At 41.2% G+C, this 23,635-nt stretch overlaps 1 pseudogene across 1 annotated transcript in view, besides 2 other annotated features; it reads left to right on the forward strand.

The window, feature by feature from the left end:
* SEPTIN7P13 (septin 7 pseudogene 13) overlaps positions 1 to 5,227 on the forward strand; it is a 41,130-nt pseudogene extending 35,903 nt beyond the window's left edge. The window contains 3 exon segments of the transcript NR_136593.1: positions 192 to 495; positions 1,049 to 1,239; positions 2,608 to 5,227. The product of NR_136593.1 is annotated as a septin 7 pseudogene 13, transcript variant 4 (transcript).
* Positions 1,070 to 1,139: an enhancer, noted in NCBI's record as "active region_2593". NCBI's record gives its function as "activates an Ori minimal core promoter by ATAC-STARR-seq in GM12878 lymphoblastoid cells {active_cell/tissue: GM12878}" and the evidence as "EXISTENCE:reporter gene assay evidence [ECO:0000049][PMID:35858748]".
* Positions 1,250 to 1,309: an enhancer, noted in NCBI's record as "active region_2594". NCBI's record gives its function as "activates an Ori minimal core promoter by ATAC-STARR-seq in GM12878 lymphoblastoid cells {active_cell/tissue: GM12878}" and the evidence as "EXISTENCE:reporter gene assay evidence [ECO:0000049][PMID:35858748]".
* Positions 5,228 to 23,635: the final 18,408 nt, after the last annotated feature.

Below are 23,635 nucleotides of genomic sequence, written 5' to 3' on the forward strand. Positions count from 1 at the left end.
TATGATAAATGCATATGATAAAGTAAAAAAAAAAAAGCACACACTGAAAGAAAGCCAACAGAAGAGGGCACTGGGCATGGGCCAGGGAGGGCAAGAATTGGGATGGGGACATGGAGGAGCCCAATCCAAGGCAAGACACAGGTTCAGGCTTTACCACAGTCACAAAGGCTGCTTCTTGTTTTTGTTTTTAGCAGAAGGTAAGCATGAGCAAATCACTTTTTAGAGGTAACTTTGCTGGACTTGTGAAGAATGGTGTGCAAGGTCCAGAGCGACTGCAGGAGAGGGAAGGTGGGATTCCCACAGAGCAGGAGCACAGATGAGCCAAGCAAGGCCCTGCTTAGAAGGCAGCAATCAACAGAGATGCACAGACCTGTGAGGGTGCCGGGACAGCCATGCAACAATGCAGCCCTTTTGCTTCCTAAGCTCACCAGTTCCCTCGCTCCACCTCTGAGAGGTGGTTTGGAGAAACACAGCCCTTCTCAAGAGGTTTGCAAGGTAAGTTTAGTTGGTACATGAGTGCACAGCACATTTTAATTTTTATAGTTATGCATTTATTTTATATGTACTAGACAAACGACCGACAGAAAATTTACCATTTCACAGGTATTAGTGTTTAGGATGAGGCTAAAGTAGGTATTTCTGTTTAAAAAAGTAAATTTGAAGAAAAGCTACCCAGCAAATTATAGTAGTATGTGGTACACAGACAAAAAACAAATTATGCAGTCGTCCAAATGACTGAAACTGATAAAATGCTGGTCCTGGTCTATGGATTCCCCCTCTGACAAAGCACAGAGTACTCGCACCTTCTCCAGAGTCAGTGACCAAAGATGAGAGAGCAGGGCACCCAGCACAGAAACCACCAGGAGCCAATGACTTCCTCCTGTGCTCCATCCTACTCTCTCACTCACACCAGGAATTAAATCCTTTTATGTAGACAGATGGTCAAGAATTGCTACTATAAAGCAACTCAGTATGGTCTGAACTATCAGAGAGCTACATGGAGAAATAGTTACTGCTAAACAGACCTCTCTGCTGATGTTTTTCCCAGCTACTTAAGTCCTGAAAATTTCCACAAGGCTGAGTCAAATCTGCGTTTCATCATCTATAAGAAAGGTACCTATCGAGAACACCCTGCTGGCCAGTGTGTAAATATCTAAAGGAGGACTCAGAAAACACCGGGGAAGTCCAGCCTGCATGTGGTGGCTGGGCTTCAGTGAAGCATGGAGCACAACAGGAGTTGTAAGTAGTAGTTACATCAGCAGCCCTGGAAATTCTGCTCAGAACCAAACTGAACAAATAACATTATCTAAAGCTTACAATTATTTAACTCCCTAAATTTTCTGTCCTCCCAGTAGCACTTTCAAATGCCTAAAAGCAATTAAAAGAAACATTTTTCCAATGTCTCACAGAACCATTAGAAACACAAAATTAATAGCTTCATAAACTATAGCTTCTATTTTATCCATAATAGAATGAAGGTGCATAAACCACATAGTAATTAATCTTTGGACAAAAGCAAACAATTAATGGAATATATGGCTAAGATCCTTTCTTTTTTAGTGTGGCCCAAGATAAAAATTTCTTCCAAAAGGGTATCATTAATGCAATAAGGCTTTTGTGGAATTCTATTTTGTATGAAATTCCTGTTTTCTATTAGCTACTTCTTCCTCTGTGACACAAGCCTCATTCCCTGTGAAAAACACGAAGCAGAAAACATTCGTGAAATCATCAGGTAAAGATCCCACGACCGTTCTATCACTGACACAGTATGTAGGTACATGGTACAACCCCCAAGGGACCACCTTGTGGCATCCTCAGCAACCACAGAGCCACAGGGCAAATGAGTGTTTGCTCCCACTGAGGCTCTGCAACCTCTGCCACCAATACTGGAGAAATCCTCCAACCTCACTGTTTTCTCCTGAACTTGTTCCCTTCTGTTTTTCGATTAATTCACAGCAAACAGGCACACCTTCAAGCTGCCAAAAGCATCTTAAACGTTGTACACTTACAATCTTCAAAATATAGTTGTTCAAAAGAGTCATCAAAGTAGTTTTTGAAATAGAACACTTACTTTGACCACATAATTGAACCTTCGGATATCTTGAATTGCACTTGAGAAGTCTAACCGATTAAAGGCTTCTCCCAAGGTGCAATAGCCATGCCTCTGGAAGAGCAACACAGAAGTTAAAATTAGTCAATTAGCCAAAAAGAATTGGCAGTTAATGTCAATTAATTGTGCGATTAAAAAAATTTTTGGCAAAGGACAATTTGTTTTTATTTTGAAGACTGACTTTAGATTTAGATGAGAGTATAGTAAAATTGTAGCAATGCTAATAATTTAAGCTGTTTATGTATACCTGAGACACCGTTAACTGACATTTTTTACAACCTGCTGAAGTAATGACAAAGACAAATATTTATTAAATATCTTGCTGGTTTGTTTTGTTGGGGACAAACTGGGGTGTGGACGACGTTAAAGCTAAGATCATAAAAGAACTGGATTCATTCTAGGCTACGCAACTAAAAATACATAAATCATCTGCTTAACTGCATTGTAAGGATGTAGGTGTTATAAATATCTAGTTGAAACACAGGATTTCTCTGCAGGGGAGGCATGCACTGCCCGAGTTTGAAGTATAACATGGGATTTCTCTCCAGAGCAGCCATGCACTGCCCAGGCTGGAAGTATGCTCAACCACAAGGATCAGGGCTGGGAGAGGCGCTTCGGTAGCAAGAAGGTGCCTCTGAAAACCAGCATTGGGATGGAGAGGGCTGAAGGCAAGTGCTGGATGTGACCATGGGCAGCTTTCAGGCTGGGAGCACGGATGCCAAGAACCCAAAACACCAAAAAAACTGGTGCTTAGAACCACAGGTCCAAGAACTGAAGGAAGAAAATGAAACAATTTATTTTCAGTACTGTAAACACTGCTGCTATTCTCTTAGATGTTTTTCTTCCATGATATACCCTGTATTGGTTTGTATAGATTAGCACATTAGGTTTCAGAAGTCATTTTAAACTCCATCTTCATCCTCCATATTTGAAATATTTAAAATCTACAGATTTTCAGGTCAAAGTTGTAGAGATAAGTAAGCTAGAAAACAATAATAGAAAACATGAGATGATTGGTCTCAAATTCCAAACAGGTGACTTGAGATGTCCTAGAGAAAGCAGCTGGAGTCATAGCACCTTTGTCTCTAACAGCCGATACACTCAGAGGCTCATGTGCTTCTGTGCGTCACCCCCAATCGCCCTGACAGGTGCACAACTCAACAAAATATACTCATTTAAAACATCCAAATATGTTGACTGAGTGCCTGCTATGTGGAAAACATTTTCCTGGGAACTCTGGGGAAAGGAAACACTCATTTTGATATAGATTATAATCTGAAATCCATCACAGCTGATATTCCACACGATGGTGTAGCAGACACTTTCCAAGGTCACCACCCATCTCACAAAAGGAAATTAAATCTGATTCACAGAGCAGACCACAAAGAGCATGTCTGGACCTAGAACCACAGCATGTAACCTCGGAAGCAGTGAGACACCAGCCAGCATGGACAAGCAGCAGGCACTTGATCTATACCAGGTGAGGGTGTGGAGACATGACGTGGTGCAGGGACACCAGCACCCAGTCCTAGTTCTGGTCCCTCTCAGCCTTGTTAGGTCCTGGTTCCTAGGATTCCAGGGAACATCCCCACAGCCTCACAATAAGATCCTCCTTTCCTGTATATGCTAGCTTGGATGGGATCCTCTGTTCTGTAATCAGTATGGCAACAGAGCAGATGAAATATTTAATGGTCTTTCATGAGCACTAAATTTTGTTTTTTACAAACTAGGTTAGATTCTGTCAAATAATCGTCTAATGGTGTATTCGAGTGTATATTAAGGATCTGATTCATTCTATACCCACTAACCATAACCAAACAGATTAAGTTTTCTTTCTCAGAATCTAATCCTTCAGTTTCTTGGAAGCTGGACTAGTTTCAGAGCATCTACAAACATTTCTGGAATATTTAACTTACCCTGAAATAACATATGATAGACAGTAATTCCCTAAATTATTTTCCCCAATTGTTGCAAAATAAAGCAAATGCAGAGTTTCTAGGACTATAAAAGGAACTCAACTTCCCGGATCCTAGTAAAGAAACAGGAAACAGCTTGAAGCTCTCTGGTTTGTTTTATGGCTCATGAAAAAGCTTTAGCCCAACTTGGCAAAAGAAAGGCAGGGAAAGAGTTCACATGGCTCTGCACAAACCCAACCCAATTACTAATTTCATGTTAGCCACTCTTTATGTGGAATTAGAGGGCTCACAGATGCCCTGCCCTCCAAAACACGCCACAGGGAGGACACATTCCCATCAGCATCAGGGGTTCATGCTAACACAGAGAAAATGCGTATGACTGCAGGAGTCCATGCTTGGTTTAAATAGCCCTGCTGTTGACTCAGATATGTACAGGTAGGCAGGAACCACACACTGCACACATATACCACATGCCACCACACACCATACATCCCACACACCAATGTGTGCACAAATACATGCACAACCATACATACACACCATACATACAACACACATACACCATACACACAACACACACCAATGTGTGCACAAATACACAGCCACATACCACATGCACATGCAAGCACACACAATGGAGAATCACTGCCTCAAAAGCTCCTCATATGCTATTATCTGTCAGAATGTGAACCATAGATCTGATATTGCAAAAGAAATGTGTTTTATGCAACTTTATTAATACATTTATTTAATGTGACTCCATATTCAACAGAAACAATCCAAGATACTCTCTTATTTATAATAGAATACTTACTTCTTTTGTGCTTTCTTTATGGACATAGATACATTTTTCATGATAAAAACCTAGAATAAAAATTACCTTTGTTTTTAAAATCTGGCAAATCATTTCAAAATGAAGATTTTAAAGGAATTTAAATAATTGGACATGTTAACAAAATTATCTGACTTACTATATTGACAAGAAATGCTTTTACTTGGTTGAATGCAAACAGAATTGCTTTGTTTCTTAAATCAGTTTAAGATATGAACAATGATTTCAGACAGTACCAAGTCCTAGTAACTTAGAAGAAAAGTAGTATTATTAATGACTGAAGCCATGTGAAGACATAAATGATTATAAAATACAATTACATTACTACATTCCTATGTACCCTAATAAAAAGTTCTATTCTTCTGTTGCTGTGTATAGTACTCCATAGAAACAAATTTTTCAGATAAATCTTAAAAGTTTCAAGAATCACACTAACTGTATTCTCCATGTGACCCTATCTTCTTCATAAAGTAGTCCCCCCGTATTCACAGTTTCATCTTCTACAGTTTCAATTACCCACAGTCAGCTTTGGTTTGAAAACATTAAGTGGAAAATTCCAGAAATAAACCATTCATAAGTTTTAAATTGTGTGCCATTCTGGGTGGTGTCATGAAATCTCACACCGTCCTGCTCTGTCCTGCCTGGGATGCAAATCCTCCCTTTGTCAAGCGAGTCCTACACTACCCGCCCCTTGGTCACTCAGTAGCCGTCCTGGTTATTGGATCACCTGTTGAGATATCACAGTGCTTGTGTTTAAAGAACCCTTATTGTACTTCATAATAGCCCCAAAATGCAAGAGCAGTGATGGTGGCCATCTTGCTATAACTGTTTCATTTTATTATTATTCTCGTTAATCTCTTACTGCACCTAATTTATAAATTAAACTTTATTATAAGTGTGTATATACAGAAAAAAAAACATAGTATCCATAAGGTTTGGTAGTATCCACAGTTTCAGGCATCCACTGGAGGTCTATCCCGAGGTAAGGGAGCCTGCTATACATTAACATGTGTCTTGGTAACTCACAGATATGCTGCATGATAGAACTCTGTGCCCTCTCACAGATAGGTCCCACCTCCAGCCTTCCCCTGCTGCCATCTAACATCCTAAACTCCAGCTCTGAATGTCTGTCTCCTGCTCTGAATCTTCAGTGACTTCGAAACTCAAGTCAGGACACCTCTCAGTTTGGCCTCACTGCTCAAGATTGAGCTGAATTCATGACCATAATTCAAGCATTCAGATTCATGGGCTGTTTTGTGGGTTTTGCTATCTCTTATTTTGTTTTTGCACATCTTACCCACTGAAACGTTGGGCTGCAAAAATTTGATCACTATGTAGGCAATGCTGGATACTGGGCTGTTATTTACACATTTGTATCACCTTTTATTTCATAAGATAGCATTGTCAGAGTAATTTAGTATTTCAACATAATCAACAAGTAAAATTAATGAGAATGATCTTACTTTGAGTATTTGTGTCATTTCTAAAATGGTCCTTTTTCTTTTTTTGGATGCATATTCATGCTCTTCATTATTGAATATTTCTCCTTCTTCGCTATTTAAGATACTGAAATAAAGACATATTCTATTAAAATATTTTTTCAGGGAGATCTTCATTTGGCTTTTCTTTTGTAAAAGGATACAAATACTTCAAAGTGACAGACTGTGGGCTTGAAATCACAGGGGTAATGTCTAATACATTTTTGTTTCATTTTGAGAAATAAGATGTATCCTGGTTCTTTGAGAATATTGTACCAGAAAGTGCTGAACATGTTTTAGAATCTCTGAAGGGTCTTGATATGCTTATCCAAGGTAGTTTCAAACATCAAAATGGCTTATTAAAACAGAGATTTTTTAAAAAACAACTATTAAAACTCCAGAAAAAAGATGGTAAGAACATGATGATACCCAATACTGACCAATGACTTGATGTATCCCTTACCCCATGCTGAGTAACCACTCAACATTTCTGTTTACTCCCTATATGTTTAAGGGTTTAACTGAAGTTAATTATTACTGCACTGAACATGTTTTTATTAAGCACCAACCACATACACTGTTAACACATTTAACTGGAACCAGGTGAAGTGACATGTATATTTTTACTATTTAAATACATTTAATTAAAAGCTGTTCTTTGTGAAACAAGAAAATCAAATCATAAGGCAATAACTAAACAATGGGAACACCTTTTACTTTTTTAAAAAAGTCTTCCTTACAGAAAAAAAAAAAAAACCTGTAAATAGTAATCCACATCCTCAAAACTAAAGATGTGTAAAATTTTTATTTTCCACACACTGATAACAGATTTTCAGTGTAAAGTGAGGAAGGAAGCTCTGTGGAGACAAGGTGGTTGGTGGAGGCATGCAAGAGTGGTGCTCAAATCCAAGGAACTAAAATTGCTTATTTGCCGGTCATCGTTCTTTGACAAGAAAATTGTATACAAGCCCCTTTCCACTCACCAGTAGTCACTTTTAGTAAAAAACAGCTGACTTTGCCAAATGAGTCACTTTCTCACTGTCAGAACAGACTTAAACAGCAGTGCCAACAGTTGTAAATCATCAAGACAAGCAAAGCACATTTGAAAAACATACAAACAACTGAACTTTTTGTGGCAGACATTATAACAGCAATTTATGGAAATGTGTTGATGTTTGTATTTTATATTTAGTCTTACACCAGTTTGTTATCATTGATTGAGATACTGAATGTAGAAGCTTTAGAATCTAAAAGGGCTTTTCTAACGAAAATTACAAACATATCAAAGGAAAAGCACAAATACAATGTTCTCCAGAAATAGTGTCGCAGAAATAAAGACAGAATATGGAAGGAGACAGGACTGCTGACTAATCTCATACGTACAGGGAGAAGGACACTCCATGCAGCTTAGCTCCAACATGTGAGTGTGGGACAGAAAAGCAAGGTGAACCTAAAGACATCCCATGGACACACTGAGCTGGAACCAACTCTGCCCATAGGTGGTGGGGCCAGGTTCAGATGCTTGCAGTAACCGCATCCTCCTGTGAATCTGGGCCTACATGGCTGTGGCTCCCTGGGGGCTACCCACACTGTGGATTCCACAGGTGGAGGTGACCTTCTTGGGCACTGCTGGGACACTTCCTGGGTCTGCCTGGGCAGTGGTAGGGCTCAGAGAACTTCAGCGTTAGGGCCTTGGGGAGTCTATGTCAGACTTGAGGACCAAGCCTGGGCTCACAAATGACAACTAGGCTACTATTTTTACAAAGTATTTTAAATGGGGAAAAAGCCATTATTTTTTGGTTGGGGGTTTTACACTGTCAGGTAAATAAAAATGTACAAGTAGAGAAGAAAGATGAATGCTTCTGAAATTTAAATTCGACACATTAAAATGTTAATAAAGGAGTATTTAATTTATAAATCTTTCTATTCTGCATGTATCAACTACATTTCATAGCAATCAACTACATGTCATAGCAAACATGTTCTCTTTTTATAACCTTCAAGACAAACATCACCTACTCTGACTTAAAAACAAGGGTACCTGCCCAACAACTTGATTAAAAAATGTCGAACAACTTCAACAGACACTTCTCCAAAGAAGAGGCACAGCAGCCAACAAGCCCATGAAAAGATGCTCCACATCACGAATTGTTAGGTAAATGCAAATTAACACTACAATGAGATACTACCTCACGCTCATTATGAGGCTACTGGCAAATTAAAAAAAAAAAAAAGTTTAACAAGTGTTGACATGGATGTGGGGAAACTGGATCCTTCGTGCAATGTTGGTGGAAATGGAGGATGGTATAGCTACTATAGCAAACAGTATGGAGGTTCTTCAAAAAATTAAACACAGAATTACCATATGATCCAGCAATTCCACTTCTGGGTATATATTCAAAAGAACTGAAAGCAGAAAATGAAAGATACTTGTATACCCACGTTCATAGCAGTATTACTTGCAACAGATAAACATGGAAGCAACCCACATGTCCATCAGTGGATGAATAGATAAGCAAAATGTGGTGTACACTATACACAATATGGAATATTATTCAGTCTGAAAAAGGAAATGCTGACACATGCTACAATAGGGCTGAAACTTGAGGATGTTACGCTGAGATAAGACAGTCACAAAAGGACACATACTGTCTGATTTGACTTATATGAGGTACTCAGAAAAGTCAAATCATACAGACAGAAAATAGAAAGCCAGTTACCAGGTCTGGGGGTGCTGGAGAATGAAAAGTTAGCGTTTAATGGGGACATAGTTTCAGTGTGGGAAGATGTAAAAGTTCTAGAGATGTATGGTGGTAATGGTTGCACAATAATGTGAATGTACTTAACACCACTGAACTGTACATTTAAAAATGGTTAGGATGGCAATTTTATGTTATGTGTATTTTGCTGCAATTAAAGATAAACAGGGTGCAAGAGAGGAGAGGAAGTAGCAGCTTGTCTTGTTCATGCTGTCTGAGGTGCATGTCGGAGGGATGGGGTGGGGGCGGGAAGTGTTAAAAACAAAGAATAGAACATTATACAACACAAGCGGAAAATACAGGGCACAAACGCACTTGTATAAAACACAGAGTTTCCATAAACTTAAAACATGTCTGAATGATGGAGCTAACAGCCCTTAACTCCCCACACCCAGGCTGCACCACAGCATATGTCACCCCCTTGCTTGCAAATGTGCCCAAAAGGCAATGACATTCCAAGTTTCCTCTGACAAGCCCAAGGACAGGGCATGAGTTTTCCAAGTTCCTTTCCATTCAAGAAAAGGAAGAGAAGAGAATAGAGAAGAATCAACAAAACAACTCCAAATAGAAGTAAACGAGAGCCAAGAACAGAACTATTTCTCATAATTAAACCCCAATTTCTATAAATTACAATCCTCATTCTAGTGATGACCTATAATAAGATTTGCATTTTCCTCTGATGGTATTTTCCTTAAGAGATGGATAACAAGGTCTTAATCTTCATCTCCCAGACCACTCTAGGGTTCGAAGCACAGGCTTTACAGAAATGTGCTGTTATGGGCCATCATCTTCAAATCATTTCCACACAAGTCTAGGAAAATAAGACAGGCTAGGATAAGCCTCCGGTTTTTAAAATTGCTAATCAAGGGCATCAGTTCTTAACTATATTGCTGTAAGATATGTCACAAAACTTTTGTTACCAGTAAGAAAAATGACCAACATTTGTGAATGATTTAACTTTTAATAATTATTAAAGTACTACACTACACATAATAAAAAATAATACATACTCATAAACTCAACTTCCCTGAGTTGCCAGTAGGAAGCAACCCTGCCGAGCCCTTGATTTTGGATTTCTGGCCTCCAGAATTGTGAGGACATACATTTCTGTGGTTTTAAGCCACTGAGTTTGTGGTTATGGAATCCCAGAAAATGAATAAAATTATCTATCTTTTCAAGTTACTTCAGTTTGATATTGATTATGAAAGGTACATATATGCTGTCAAACAGAAGAGACTTTAGGGAGAAAAAATCTCGCATAAATGCAACAAGTTGCCATGACTCTAAGTGCCAAGGTCATATAACATGCAAACTGTGATAATTTCACCAAAACCAAAACAAAGTGGAACAAATCCTCAGACACAGTTGTTGATAATTCCCACCCTGGCCTCCTCTGACATTTCCTTTGGATCAATTTGGCTGCACCTCTTCTGTCAAGCAGGAGCTGGACGACATTTTGGTCAGCTCCTCCCCAGAAGGGAGCTACAATCTCTGCTCTAACAATCCCCAATTGTTGTCTTAAGTTAGACTGTGTTCATCAATGGCTACCTACTAAACTTAGCTTTTTATCTGTACATTTTCCAATCAGGTCGTATTATTTTCTCCTGGTAGGCAAGTGTTTACATTTATCCATTTTCCTGATATAAAGCTACTTCGTATCAGTGTGTTATTAGTCTCTAATTATAAGAAGATAATCCAGAAGAGAAAAGTCCAGTCAATTTTATATAAGTTAAAAAAAAAGATGTGAAACCTATTTTTAGAATTAACATTTCCTTCCTAAATATCTGACACGACACACTTACGGACTCTTAACACATCCTTCTTACATGAAGGGAGCAGCAGAGCAGAGGGCGACAAGAGCACCAAGGCCAGGTGGAGCCACAGCCAATGTGGGCCCATCTCACTCCGCAGGGAGAAGCAACTGCACTGTGCACAGTGTGCAATCTGGCAGAAGGGAAAGGCCGTCTTAAAGAGCTTCAGATGCAGCAACCTTGAAGAAGGGCTGTGCCAGAAAGTCCACCAGATGAGGCCGCAAACCTATCAAAGGGCATCAGACACTCTGTGCACAGGGTACACAAAACAATGCCTCCCACATTCTGTGACTTCCTGCGTGTGCCACTTGGACCACCACACTCCCTACCTGCACCATCTTACCTGGACAGACTAAATCTCAGCCACCTCATGACTAGGATATTAACATGGCTTCCAGTTCTATAAATTCCTCCCCCTTAAGAATGCATGTCTGTAAAATCAGAAATGATGAAAACTGGACTTGTGAGTGGCTTTGTAGTAGGGATTACAGGTCCAGAATAGAATAGGTTCAGTAACATATTTAAGATATTTAAGGGAAAAAATATAAGCCAAAGATTTAACATCTAAATAGTGACTATCCAGGGTAAAAGTCACACATATTTTTTATGAGTACACACAAACACAGGAAGTACGGTGACCAGGAGCTGAGGGATGACCCACTAAAGAATAAGCTCCGGAAACCAAAATGACTAGAGGCAGACGCAAAGGTGAGCTGCCGGGTGGTCTGTATTTATCTGTGGAGCTGCTGGCACATGACGGTGATAAAAGTGCAGCATGCCATGGTTACCAGCTTGGACAATGCAGACAAAGAACAACCACCAGAGAAGTGGTAGGGGCGGGCAGAAGATGTGCAGGGGCCAACTGGGACTGGGGTGTCCATCAGATACCTGCAGTATCAGGTACTATGGGGAGCCAACCAAAGAAACTAAGTGTTTGCTATAAAGGCATTAGGATAAAAGTGGAAAAAAAAAGGGAGGAAGAAAGCCCTCTTAAATACCAGAAGGGTAAAAGCAAATAAAATAGAACAAGGTGGTTCCCTGTTATCTGTGATGTAAAAAATGGACTTGGCTCACCTATTAAATGGAAAACAGTCTTGGATTGGCTCACAAAGCAAAATCAAACACCATACTACATATAAGATATACAGCTATAAAAGGCTGGGAAAATATATAGAGAATTTATAGGACTCAGAAAAAAAGTAACTGTCACAGGAAACTTTATAGCATTAAATACCTATATCAATACAAATTTAAATAATAAAAATAAATTATTTAAACATATAACTGAAAAAGCCAGAAAAAGAATAAGTGAACCAAAAGAAAGGGGTGAATTATTACAAATGAAAGCAGATATTATTAAGTAGAAAAAGAATAGAACTAAGAAGTAAATCCAAAAGCTGGCTCTCAAGAGAAAATAATCAACCAAAACAAACCACTAGGTATCTGATTAGAAAAAAAAAAATAAGAAAGTTACAAGTGCTAACAGAAGAAAATTTAAACATTGTAAAAGATAAGGAAAAGAAAGGGATAGAGAGAAAAACGTGTAGATTAAAAGAGACTTTAAAAACAGTCTCCACCACAACTCATATGTACAGGTATTAGTAAAAAGTTACAGACAAGTCCCAGACTGTCCAAGTGAGACCTCATGTAGGTCTGCCCTAGTCTCAACTCTGCAGGACACTGATGTCTACAGCAGGACCCCGTTCCATCCTCAGCTCACCCTTCGAAGTTGTTGTGCCTCTGTTAGCTCCCTGGCTGTGCTTTTGCTTCTTCTATGAGGCTGCCTGCTCCAGGAACACATCCTATTGCCTTCTGGCTCAACCAGGATGTGGCTCAAACCCTTCCTGGCTCAAGCCCCCTTCCCTGCTCCCAAGAAATCTCCCAACCCCTCCTCTTTCTCACCTTGGCCTTGGGAATGAGAACACAGAAACTACAAAACCCGGACTTGGCCTTTTCAAGAGGATGATGGTAATAAATGGTGACTACAATGAGTACTTTTAGCCTCAAGGACCTTCTAAAGCAGCCCAAAGCATGGAGATTGGGTTCATTATTACACAGCTGCCAGAATGATCTTCCTGGCACAGATCAGTTATGCCTTAAAGGAATATTATCGCCTTCAGAAAAAAAAATGTCCAGAGCACTTTGCCTGGTGATCAACATCCTGCATGGTCTCACCCAAACTATCATCCACATCATGTGCCTCCTGGTTCCCCTTCGCACCATTGCTGACCAAACTGAGCTACCCTGTTGATGTTTTCCTAAACAGATCCCAGGGAGCCCCTTCTCAGATCTTTGATCATACATTCCCTTCCCCTGGCGTAGTCAGACAGCATTTTGTATATGAAGCTCATCCCTTTAAGGCACTTACTGTGCACCAAAAGACAGCAGAGGTGAGAGCCACAAATAGCCTCCAGAATCCTGTTTCCCAGCGGTCAGTCACACCTGGGAGCACGCTCTCAGGCACCCTTTAAGAGGACACTCCCAGATATCCCCCAGCTACTACCAAGAAGTCTGTGCCTGTTTCCCCTCTTGGAAAGTTTCCATTTTTGTAGACTTTTTGGGTCTTGGCTTGGGCTCCGCCTTTGTTATTTTTCTCTTCTACTGTGCCCATCTGAGCTTCAGGATCAGGTCCTCCCAGCCCCCCAGCACTAAGAGTTATGACAAGAATTCCTTTCCCTCAATTTCACAGGTCTGCATCCTCCCCATCCTTCCAGGCCCTGCTCAAATCCCACGTCCCCTATAATTTTTTTCAAATTCTTCAGGCTACAAGAACCTCCCTCTCATCTGGACCCCTGGCACACTTGATTTATTTTTCTCTTGACACTTGAACTTTCTTTTCAAGCTTTCTATGCATTTGGCCTAACCCCTTTCTAGATATGAAAATTCAAGTTTGGTAAATCTAAGTTTTACTTTTAGTTTATCTTTGTTTCCCTCCCACACTAGAAACACAGTACATGGGCCGCCATATATATTTTTTTCACAATGTATTTTAAATATTTTGCTGAATGGGTGAATAGGTGAATGATCCTCTTGCATGGGAGCCAATGTTGCAGTCTTTACATAGATTTTCCGGTCAGAGCAGAGTATCTCAGCCTTTCAGGAAATAAGCCCATAAACAGTCATCCAGTTACTTCCACCCAATTTAATCACCAAAACCTCTAGGCTGCCTCTGTTAGGTGAGCCCACTAGAATGGTGTGTTACAAACTCATAATTACAAAAGACAGAATGACAATCTAAAACCTCTCTTTTTTGACAGATATCAGTTGTCAGTATAAGTAAACACTTAAATACCAGAGGAAATGGAATGTTCACATAAGTAAGATCTTGTCCACACTTCAGTGTAGAGCCCTATGTAATACACATGCTTGGTCTGACAAATGATGAAGTGGCCACGGGTCCTTTTCAGTGGCCAGCATCCAGATCAGCAAAAACACACTACACTGATCTCCAAAAGAAAGGTTGTTACGGAGGTTAGGGAGGACTGCCAGAGGGGAGGTGGGGTTTGGAGCTACATTTCCTTGCAAATGCCCACTTTGAGGAATTGTAGACCCAAACACCACCTTCCGTCCTGCACTGCTCCCTAATCTCCAGCACAGCTACTCCCCTCCGGCACTCCTCCCTCCCCTCCAACACTCCCCCCTCCCTTCCAGCACTCCCCCTCCCTCCAGAACACCCCCCTCCCCCGCAGCGCTCTCCCTTCCTCTCCAAAACTCCCCCCTTCCCTCCAACACTCCCCCCTCCCCTCCCTCCCCTCCAGCACACCCCCTCCCCTCCAACACTACCCCCTCCCCTCCAACACTACCTCTACCCTCCAACACTCCCCCCTTCCGTCCAACACTCCCCTCTCCCGTCCAACACTCCCCCCTCCCCTCCAACACTCCCCCCTCCCCTCCAGCACACCCTCCTTCCCTCCAGCACACCCTCCTTCCCTCCAACACTCCCCCTCCCTCCAACACTCCCCCCTCCCCTCTAGCACACCCCCTCCCCTCCAACACTACCCCTCCCCTCCAACACTCCCCCCTCCCCTCCAGCACACCCCTCTCCCCTCCAACATTCCCACCTCCCCTCCAACATCCTCCTCCCCATAAGCACTCCCTCCTCCCTTCCAGCAAACCCCCTCCTCTCTAACACTCCCCCCTCCCCTTCAGCACACCCTCCTCCCCATAAGCACTCTCACCTTTTCACCAGCACTCCCCCTCCCCTCCAGAACACCCCCCTTCCTTCCAGCACTCCCCTCTCCCCATCAGTACTCCCCCCTCCCCACCAGCACCTCCCTGTCCCCAACGGCACCCCTCTCCCCACCAGCATCCCCTCCCCCACCAGCACTTCCCCCTCCTCACCAGCATCCCCTCCCCCACCAGCACTCCCTCCCCCCCAAAGCACACCTCTCCCTCACCAGCACTTCCCCCTCCCCACCAGCACCCCCTCCCCACCAGCGGTTCCCTCCTCCCCCTCCCCCACTAGCACTCCTCCCTCCCCCATTTGATGAAGCTCCACTCCTCCATTAGAATGAAGCTACATAGGCTTCATCAAATCCATAAAATGAAAAGGCAAAAACCATGTGTTTTCCAGGGGTGGGATGAGGAAGAGGTTCAATACTAAATCCAGGCTTCATTTTCTCAATAGCTGGCCAGGAATGAGTCGAGGAGACCAATGCTATTAAATGGAGTGTCCTTTGGTGACCATAACCCAATTTCACCACACATGAAAAAGTGAGCAAGATTCCAAGGTTCTAAACCGGAGAACAATGCCAAAATGGTTTTCACTTAGAATATTTTTTAAAAAGGGTTCCAGTAAAATGTATGGTTTTGAGCAACCTAATTTTCAGAGTATCTATCATTATGAATTAGGAGAAAAATTCACATTTATGGACACAACCACTTTGGAAAACCTTTGGCAATTTCTTCCAAATCTGAACACATGCGTACCCAATAACTGAGCATTTGCACTCCTAGGCATATACCCAATAGAAATGCAAACATATATTCACAAAAGACATGCACAAGAATATTCATAGCAGCACTATTTATAATCAAACACTGGAAAGAACCCAAATTCTCAGCAACAGTAGAATGGGAGAGAAACATTGGGAAATGCAGGCATGAGCATAACCAACTACTGCCGCACGCCACAACATAATGTTGCATGAAAGCCTCAAGACACAGAATGTACACGCTGCATGATTCATTTATAATTAAGTTCAAAACAGGCAAAGCTCATCCATGGTGATATAAATTGCAAGAGGAGTCATTGTGGGGACAGAAAGGAGCAAGGAAGGAGCAAGAGGGAAGCCTCCAGGGAGTGGTAATGTGTTCTCTGATCAAGGTACCATACGGAGGTACACTTAAGATTTCTACAGTTTCTGTAGATGTGTTACACTTCAATAAAAATTTACAACACACCCATCCTGGCTAACACAGTGAAACCCCGTCTCTACTAAAAATACAAAAAATTAGCTGGGCGTGGTGGCGGGTGCCTGTAGTCCCCGCTACTCGGGAGGCTGAGGCAGGAGAATGGCGTGAACCCAGGAGGTGGAGCTTGCAGTGAACCGAGGTCCCGCCACTGCACTCTAGCCTGGGTGACAGAGTGAGACTCCGTCTCAAAAAAAAAAAAAAAAATTTACAACATACACACACACACACACACACACACACACACACACACACACCCCTAAGTAACAACCAAGCTGCTAAATGGCTGTCATAACAACTACCTTTTCAAAATATCCACAAAAATAATAATTTAAAATATGAAGTCTCCATCCTTCTTTCTGACAATAATCATATCACAAAATAAAATGTTTATGAGACCACTTCTGGCTCAAGACAATAAAACCACACCATTGGCTGGGGTCAGTGGCTCATGCCTGCAATCCCAGCACTTTGGGAGGCCGAGGTGGGAGGATCGCTTGAGGCTGGGAGTTCAAGAACAGCCTGGGCAACAGAGCGCGACCCCCGTCTCTACAAAATATTTTTAAATTAGCCACACCACTAGCATCTTTGATAAGGGGAATGGGAGTGAGTATTTGAAGCATCTGAATCCAGTTTCTGGTCATTAAATCTCTTACGTTGGTATGAAAATCACCTGCCAGAGGACCTGTTTCCCCAAGCTCTAAAACTAGTCTGTGTTCAAACATGGGAATCAGAGCACGTGGAACAGCCCGGATGAGCATCAAGTGACACAGCTGTTGAGTCCCAAGGCCTTAAGGAAGGCATGGGCCTCCGATCCATTCCTGGGACAGAGCCCATCCCTGTGCGCCTGCTCCCAGCAGTGGGAATTTGCCTGATCCTGCGTCCCCAGATCCCTGCTCTGTTAATGCCACCGCTATCCTGGTTCTCCCAAGACTAGAGCTCTGCCCTGTTTGTACATTTTCTGTAGTTTTTGGTGGTTTTTTAAAAATTCTCCTTTCCTCTATTACTCGTCTATTTAATTTTGTATTCCTTGCTTCAGCTGAATGTAAAAATAAAAATGCTAAGGTACTTAAAGAAACATGGGGAAAGTGCTACATAATCTTCGGAGGGGAAGCTGTTCTAAGTATACACAAAATCCAAATGCCATTTCTTAAAAACTGATAAAATAAATTACATTTTAAATTGATTTCATAACTACACAAAGGAAATTTATTTCAATAAATTACTAACATAATGCACCATTAGCGAGACATATTGTAAGGACAGAAAGAACTGAGGAAGAGATTCAATACTAAATCCAGGCTTAATTTTCTCAATGCTGGCCAGGAATGGGTCGAGGAGACCAATGCTATTAAATGGAGACCCCTTTGGTGGCCATAACCAGAAAGAAATATTGAGCTTTACTTAGCAGTTTTATTGTCAGTAGTGGCATTGGTGATGCAGCGCTGCAACTATTTGTTTATTTGTTATGTATTATAAGATAGAACAATGAGCAAAGTCATTGAGATCCCACAGAAAATCCCACAAGATTCTCTGCGGGAGAAGGGAGATAGGATAGTGAATAGGAGGAGTTGGGGAAGAAGCTTGTGATGTCATATTCGGATAGGAATATAAACTCATGATATGTATTTACGTGTACATATGCATTTAATACAAGTGGTCCCTGACTTAACTTTTTTATTTTATGATGTTGGAAAAGTGATAAACATTCAGTAGAAACTGTACTTTCAGCACCCATACAACCATACTGTTTTTCACTTTCTGTACAGTATTCAATAGATTACATGAGATATTCAACACTGTATTATGAACACTTTATTATAAAATGTATTAGATTATTTTGCCCAACTGTAGGCTAATATAAGTGCTCTGATCACATTCAAAGGTAGGCTAAGATAAGCTGTGATGTTTGGTAGATGAAGTGTATTAAATGCATTTCTGACTTAACAATATTTTCAATTTACCATGGATCTATCAAGATGTAATCCCATCATAAGTCAAGGAACATCTGTATGTGCTTTAACTGTACATATTTAATTTTACATATTTTTTAATTCTGTAGGAAAACATAATGAACAAAATGAGACATAGGTGGAAATTCCAGAAAACATTTGTAACACATATGACAAAAGGCTAATTTCCTTAATATATAAAGGGCCACTTATAAATCAATTTTTAAAACTCAGCAAAACACAAAGAACATGAACAGATATTTCTCAAGAGAGAAAAAATAGATGGCTTCTTGGCAGGGCGCAGTGGCTCATGCCTGTAATCCCAGCACTTTGGGAGGCTGAGGCAGATGGATCCCTTGAGGCCAGGCATTAGAGACCAGCCTGGCCAACATGGCGAAACCCCGTCTTTACTAAAAATACAAAAATTAACCGGGCCTGGTGACACACACCTGTAATCCCAGCTACTTGGAGGCTGAGGCACAAGAATTGCTTAAACCCAGGAGGCGGAGGTTGCTGTGAGCCAAGATCACCCCACTGCACTCCAGCCTAGGTAACAGAGTAAGACTCTGTCTCAAAAAAAAAAAAAAAAAAAAAAAGTTGGCTTCTTATATCAAAAAATGCTTAACCTTGAAACAACAAGATACTCTACACATCTATTTGATTGGCCAAAATGCAGAGCACTGACATCAAATGCTGGTGAGAATACGGAGCAACAGGAACTCTTGTTCATTACTGATGGAAATGCAAAATGGTACAGCTACTGTGGAAAACAATTTGGTGGTTTCTTTTGTTTGTTTTCTTTTTTTCTAAAAGGCCATTACAGCGTTAGACAGTTTGGTGATTTCTTACAAAACTAAACATGCTTTTACCACATGATCCAGCAATTACATTCCTTGGTATTTACCCAAAGGAATTGAAAACTTATGTCCACACAAAAACCTATACACCAATGTTTATAGCAGCTTTATTCATAATTGCCAAAACTTGAAGCAACCAAGATTTTACTGAGTAAAAGAAGCCAATGTGAAAAGGCCACGTACTGTATGATTCCAACTATATAACACTCTAGAAGGGCAAAACTATGAAGATAGTAAAAAGATCAGCAGTTGCCGGGAGTTAGGAGGACAGAGGGATGAATAGGTGGATCACAGAGGATTTTTTGTGTAGTGAAGCTACTACATATGATGCTATAATAGTGAATACATGTCATTATACATTTGTCCAAACCCACAGAATGTACAACATGGAGAGTAAACTCTAAGATAAACTATGGACTCTGGGTGGTAATGATGAGTGAATGTAGGTTCATCGATTGTAATAAGTGTACCCCATCTGGTGGGGAATGTTGACAATGGGGAAGGCTATGCATGTGTGGGGCAGAGGACGTACTGGAAATCTCTGTACCTCCTGCTCAATTTTGCTGTGAACTTAAAACTGCTCTAAAAAATAAAGGCAATTTTTAAAATATTGCTGACTTTAAATGTTTAAAATGCAAATGAAAAAAACTCAAAGGGGGAGAAAATGGTAATAGCTACCAAATTTCAAATTCAGATACTTTTGACGCATAATTTCTCTTCTAAACATTTATCCTAACTGGGCGCGGTGGCTCACGCCTGTAATCCCAGCACTTTGGGAGGCTGAGGTAGGCGGATCACTTGAGGTCAGGAGTTTGAGACCAGCCTGGCCAACATGGTGAAACCCCGTCTCTACTAAAAATACAAAAATTATCCGGGTGTGCTGGCATGTGCCTGTAATCCCAGCTACTTGGGAGGCTGAGGCAGGAGAATTGCTTGAACACGGGAGGCGGAGTTTGCAGTGAGCCAAGATCGCACCATTGCACTCCAGCCTGGGTGAAGAAGCAAGACTCCATCAAAAAAAAAAAAAAAATTATCCTACAGACACACATGGATGGATGCAAAAATGTGTACACCAGGATATTGATTACACTACTATTTGTAGCAACAGAAATTTACGGATACCGGCTCATGCCTGTAATCCCAGCACTTTGGGAGGCTGAGGCGGGCAGATCACGAGGTCGGGAGATCCAGACCATCCTGGCTAACACGATGAAATCCCGTCTCTACTAAAAATACAAAAAAAAATTAGCCGGGCGTGGTGGCGGGCGCCTGTAGTCCCGGCTACTCGGGAGGCTGAGGCAGGAGAATGGCGTGAACCCGGGAGGCGGAGCTTGCGGTGAGCAGAGATCGTGCCACTGCACTCCAGCATGGGCAACAGAGCGAGACTCTGTCTCAAATAAAAAAAAAAGAAAAGAAAAGAAAAAAGAAACTGTTTACTGAATTACAACATATCCATCCATACAATGAAATACTACCCAGCTGTTAAAACAATGAGATAATTCATACATCTTGACATGGAAACATGTCCAAGATACATTGTTAAATTTTTTAAAAGGCAATGCACTAACATGATGTATTTGTAGCTACTCTCGGTGTTTAAAAACAAAAGGATATATATATATATAGTTTATATCCATTAAATATATCTACAAGAACATGAAAACAAAAACCAAAACAGTGGTTGCTTCTAGGGAAGGAAGCTGGAAGACTTGGTGGGGGTGTGGTGGTTGATGTTGAAACAACTTTTCACTTATGCTCTCTTAAACTTTTTGGATTTTTATTAAGCTATTTAAACATAAGTAATTATTCAAGTAAACAGTTTCTTCACTAGAAAAATGTAACTTAAAGGTTTTAATGAAAATTAAAAATTAGAAAAATAGGCGTGAAAAACATAACTTACCAACATAGTATTAAAAAATGGATAACATTAGTGCTCAGATTTCCCCTGATGAGTGGTCAGAGTTGTTAAGTGGTTTCAGACAAGTAAATACAGACAGGTTAATTGCTGGGGAGGGCCGAGCCTTGTTACTAATGAAAGAAACACAGATTTAGGCAACATCAAGAAGCATTATACTATCAATAATGAAAACCAATAAAACTGGAGCTTTCCAAATGGTTCCACTCATTTGAATGATGTGTGCATACCTTTTCCCAAATAATGCTGATACACATCTGCTCAAATACATGAAAGTTCCCATCCTGCCAACTCTTATGGAAGGAGCAAGTTTGCATGTCAGCTGCACAGAAAAGAGGGCAAGTGGTAAGAAGAGGAGATGGGGAGGGAGGCATTTGACAACTTTTCAAGACACCGGCACCAACAACTTACTTGTTTATTGGGGGTTAGCGGCTTTAGGAAAAAATGGTAATTAAATAGAATGTTTTATTTCTGTAAGGCAACTTGGGAATACATAAGAATTATAAAATCATTCTTTGATCCTCTAGTTCTACTTTGGGTCCAAAGTTCCCACATTCATATCAATGCTACTTACGTTAATGAACAAAATTAGAAGTATAATAAAACATGATTGTACTTTTTGTTTTTTGAGACAGAGTCTTCCTCTGTCACTCAGGCTGGAGTGCAATGGCAAGGTCTCAGCTCACTGCAACCTCCACCTCCTGGGTTCAAGCGATTCTCCTGTCTCAGCCTCCTGAGTAGCTGGGATTACAGGCACACACCACTTTTTCCAGCTATTTTTTGTATTTTTAGTAGAGACGGGGTTTCACCATGTTGGCCAGGCTTGTCTTGAACTCCTGACCTCATGATGCACCCACCTTGGCCTCCAAAAGTACTGGGATTACAGGCGTGAGTCACCGCATCCAGCCATGATTTTACTTTCTAAAATGTAAGTATGTAGATAGACTAATTCTAGCATATTAGGTAATATTGAATTAAAAGCAGTATACCAAATAACGGATGAACACTTGTTACAATTATATAAGTCTATGTAGAGACATGATCAAAAGTAGAAAATTAATTTGGAGGAGTGGAAATAGTTTATAATGTATTCATTAGGTTGTGTGAATGGTTGTTTAAATTCACAGAAGAGACCCTATCCATCTGGCAGGCAGTCCAACAGAACAAGGAGGACCAGATGGGCACAGTAATACGTCAGTACTGGCAGAAGAAAGAATATCCAGGACAGGATTAATTACTAATGCCCCCACCCACCTTGGGACCCGGGACAGGCCAGTTGGCCGGCTCGACTTGTCCTGCAGGCACCCAAGGGAATTAAAGGCCACCTGGTGGCTATATCAGAAAATTACAGCTCAGTTGATTCCTGGAGGGCAGCTGCAGCAAGAAAAACTAAATAGGACCTAGACTGACCACAATGTATTGGTTAGCTTCACATACACACAGAAGTATCTTAACAGATTATAACTATTTCCTGCAAATCCTGTTACTTCCTCTTCATTTTTGCCAGGGTCCTCAGTCATGCCTTCTCTCACATTCAATCAGCATAAAACAGGTTGAACATCCCTAATCCAAAAATCCAAAATTCAAAATTCTCCTAAATCTGAAACTTTTTGAGAGCTGACCTGATACCACAAGTGGAAAATTCCACACCTGCCTTCAAGTGACAGATCACAGTCAAAACAGCCAAAACTTTGTTTCATGCACAGAATTATTTAAAATATTGCATAAAACAGACCAGGCATAGTAGCTCAAGCCTATAATTCCAGCACTTTGGGAGGCCGAGGCAAGTGGGTCACTTGAGCTCAGGAGTTCGAGATCAGCCTGGGCAACATGGCAAAACCCCATCTCTACCAAAAATACAAAAAAATTAGCCAGGCTGGCCGGGCACAGTGGCCCACGCTTGTAATCCCAGCACTTTAGGGGGCCGAGGCGGGTGGATCACTTGAGGTCAGGAGTTTGAGACCAGCCTGGCCAACATGGTGAAACCCCGTCTCTACTAAAAATACAAAAATTAGCCCGGCGTGATGGCGGGTGCCTGTAATCCCAGCTACTGGGGAGGCTAAGGCAGGAGAATCGCTTGAACCCGGGAAGAGGTTACAGTGAGCCGAGATTGCGCCATTGCACTCCAGCCTGGGCGACGAGCAAAACTCTGTCTCAAAAAATAAAAATAAAAAATAAAAAAATTAGCTGGGCGTGGTGGTGTGCGCCTGTAGCTACTCAGGAGGCTGAGGTGGGAGGATCCCTTGAGCTTGGGAGGTGGAGGTTGAAGGGAAGTGGAGGTTGCAGGGAGGTAGAGGTTGCAGGGAGGTAGAGGTTGCAAGGTGCCAAGATTGCACAACTGCACTCCAGCCTGGGCAACAGAGCAAGACCCTGTCTCAATAAGTAAATAAATAATAAAATACTGTATAAAATTACCTTCAGGCTATGTATATAAGATGTATATGAAACAAATTAATTTCATGCTTAGACTTGGGTCCCAGCTCCAAGATATCTCATTATGCAAATATTCCAAAATCTGAAAAAGTCCAAAATCTGAAACACTTCTGGTCCTAAGCATTTCTGATAAAGGATACTCAAGCTATATCTCTATCTT

The sequence above is a fragment of the Homo sapiens genome, chromosome 1 (genome assembly GCF_000001405.40).
Source record: "Homo sapiens chromosome 1, GRCh38.p14 Primary Assembly".
Taxonomy (NCBI): domain Eukaryota; kingdom Metazoa; phylum Chordata; class Mammalia; order Primates; family Hominidae; genus Homo; species Homo sapiens.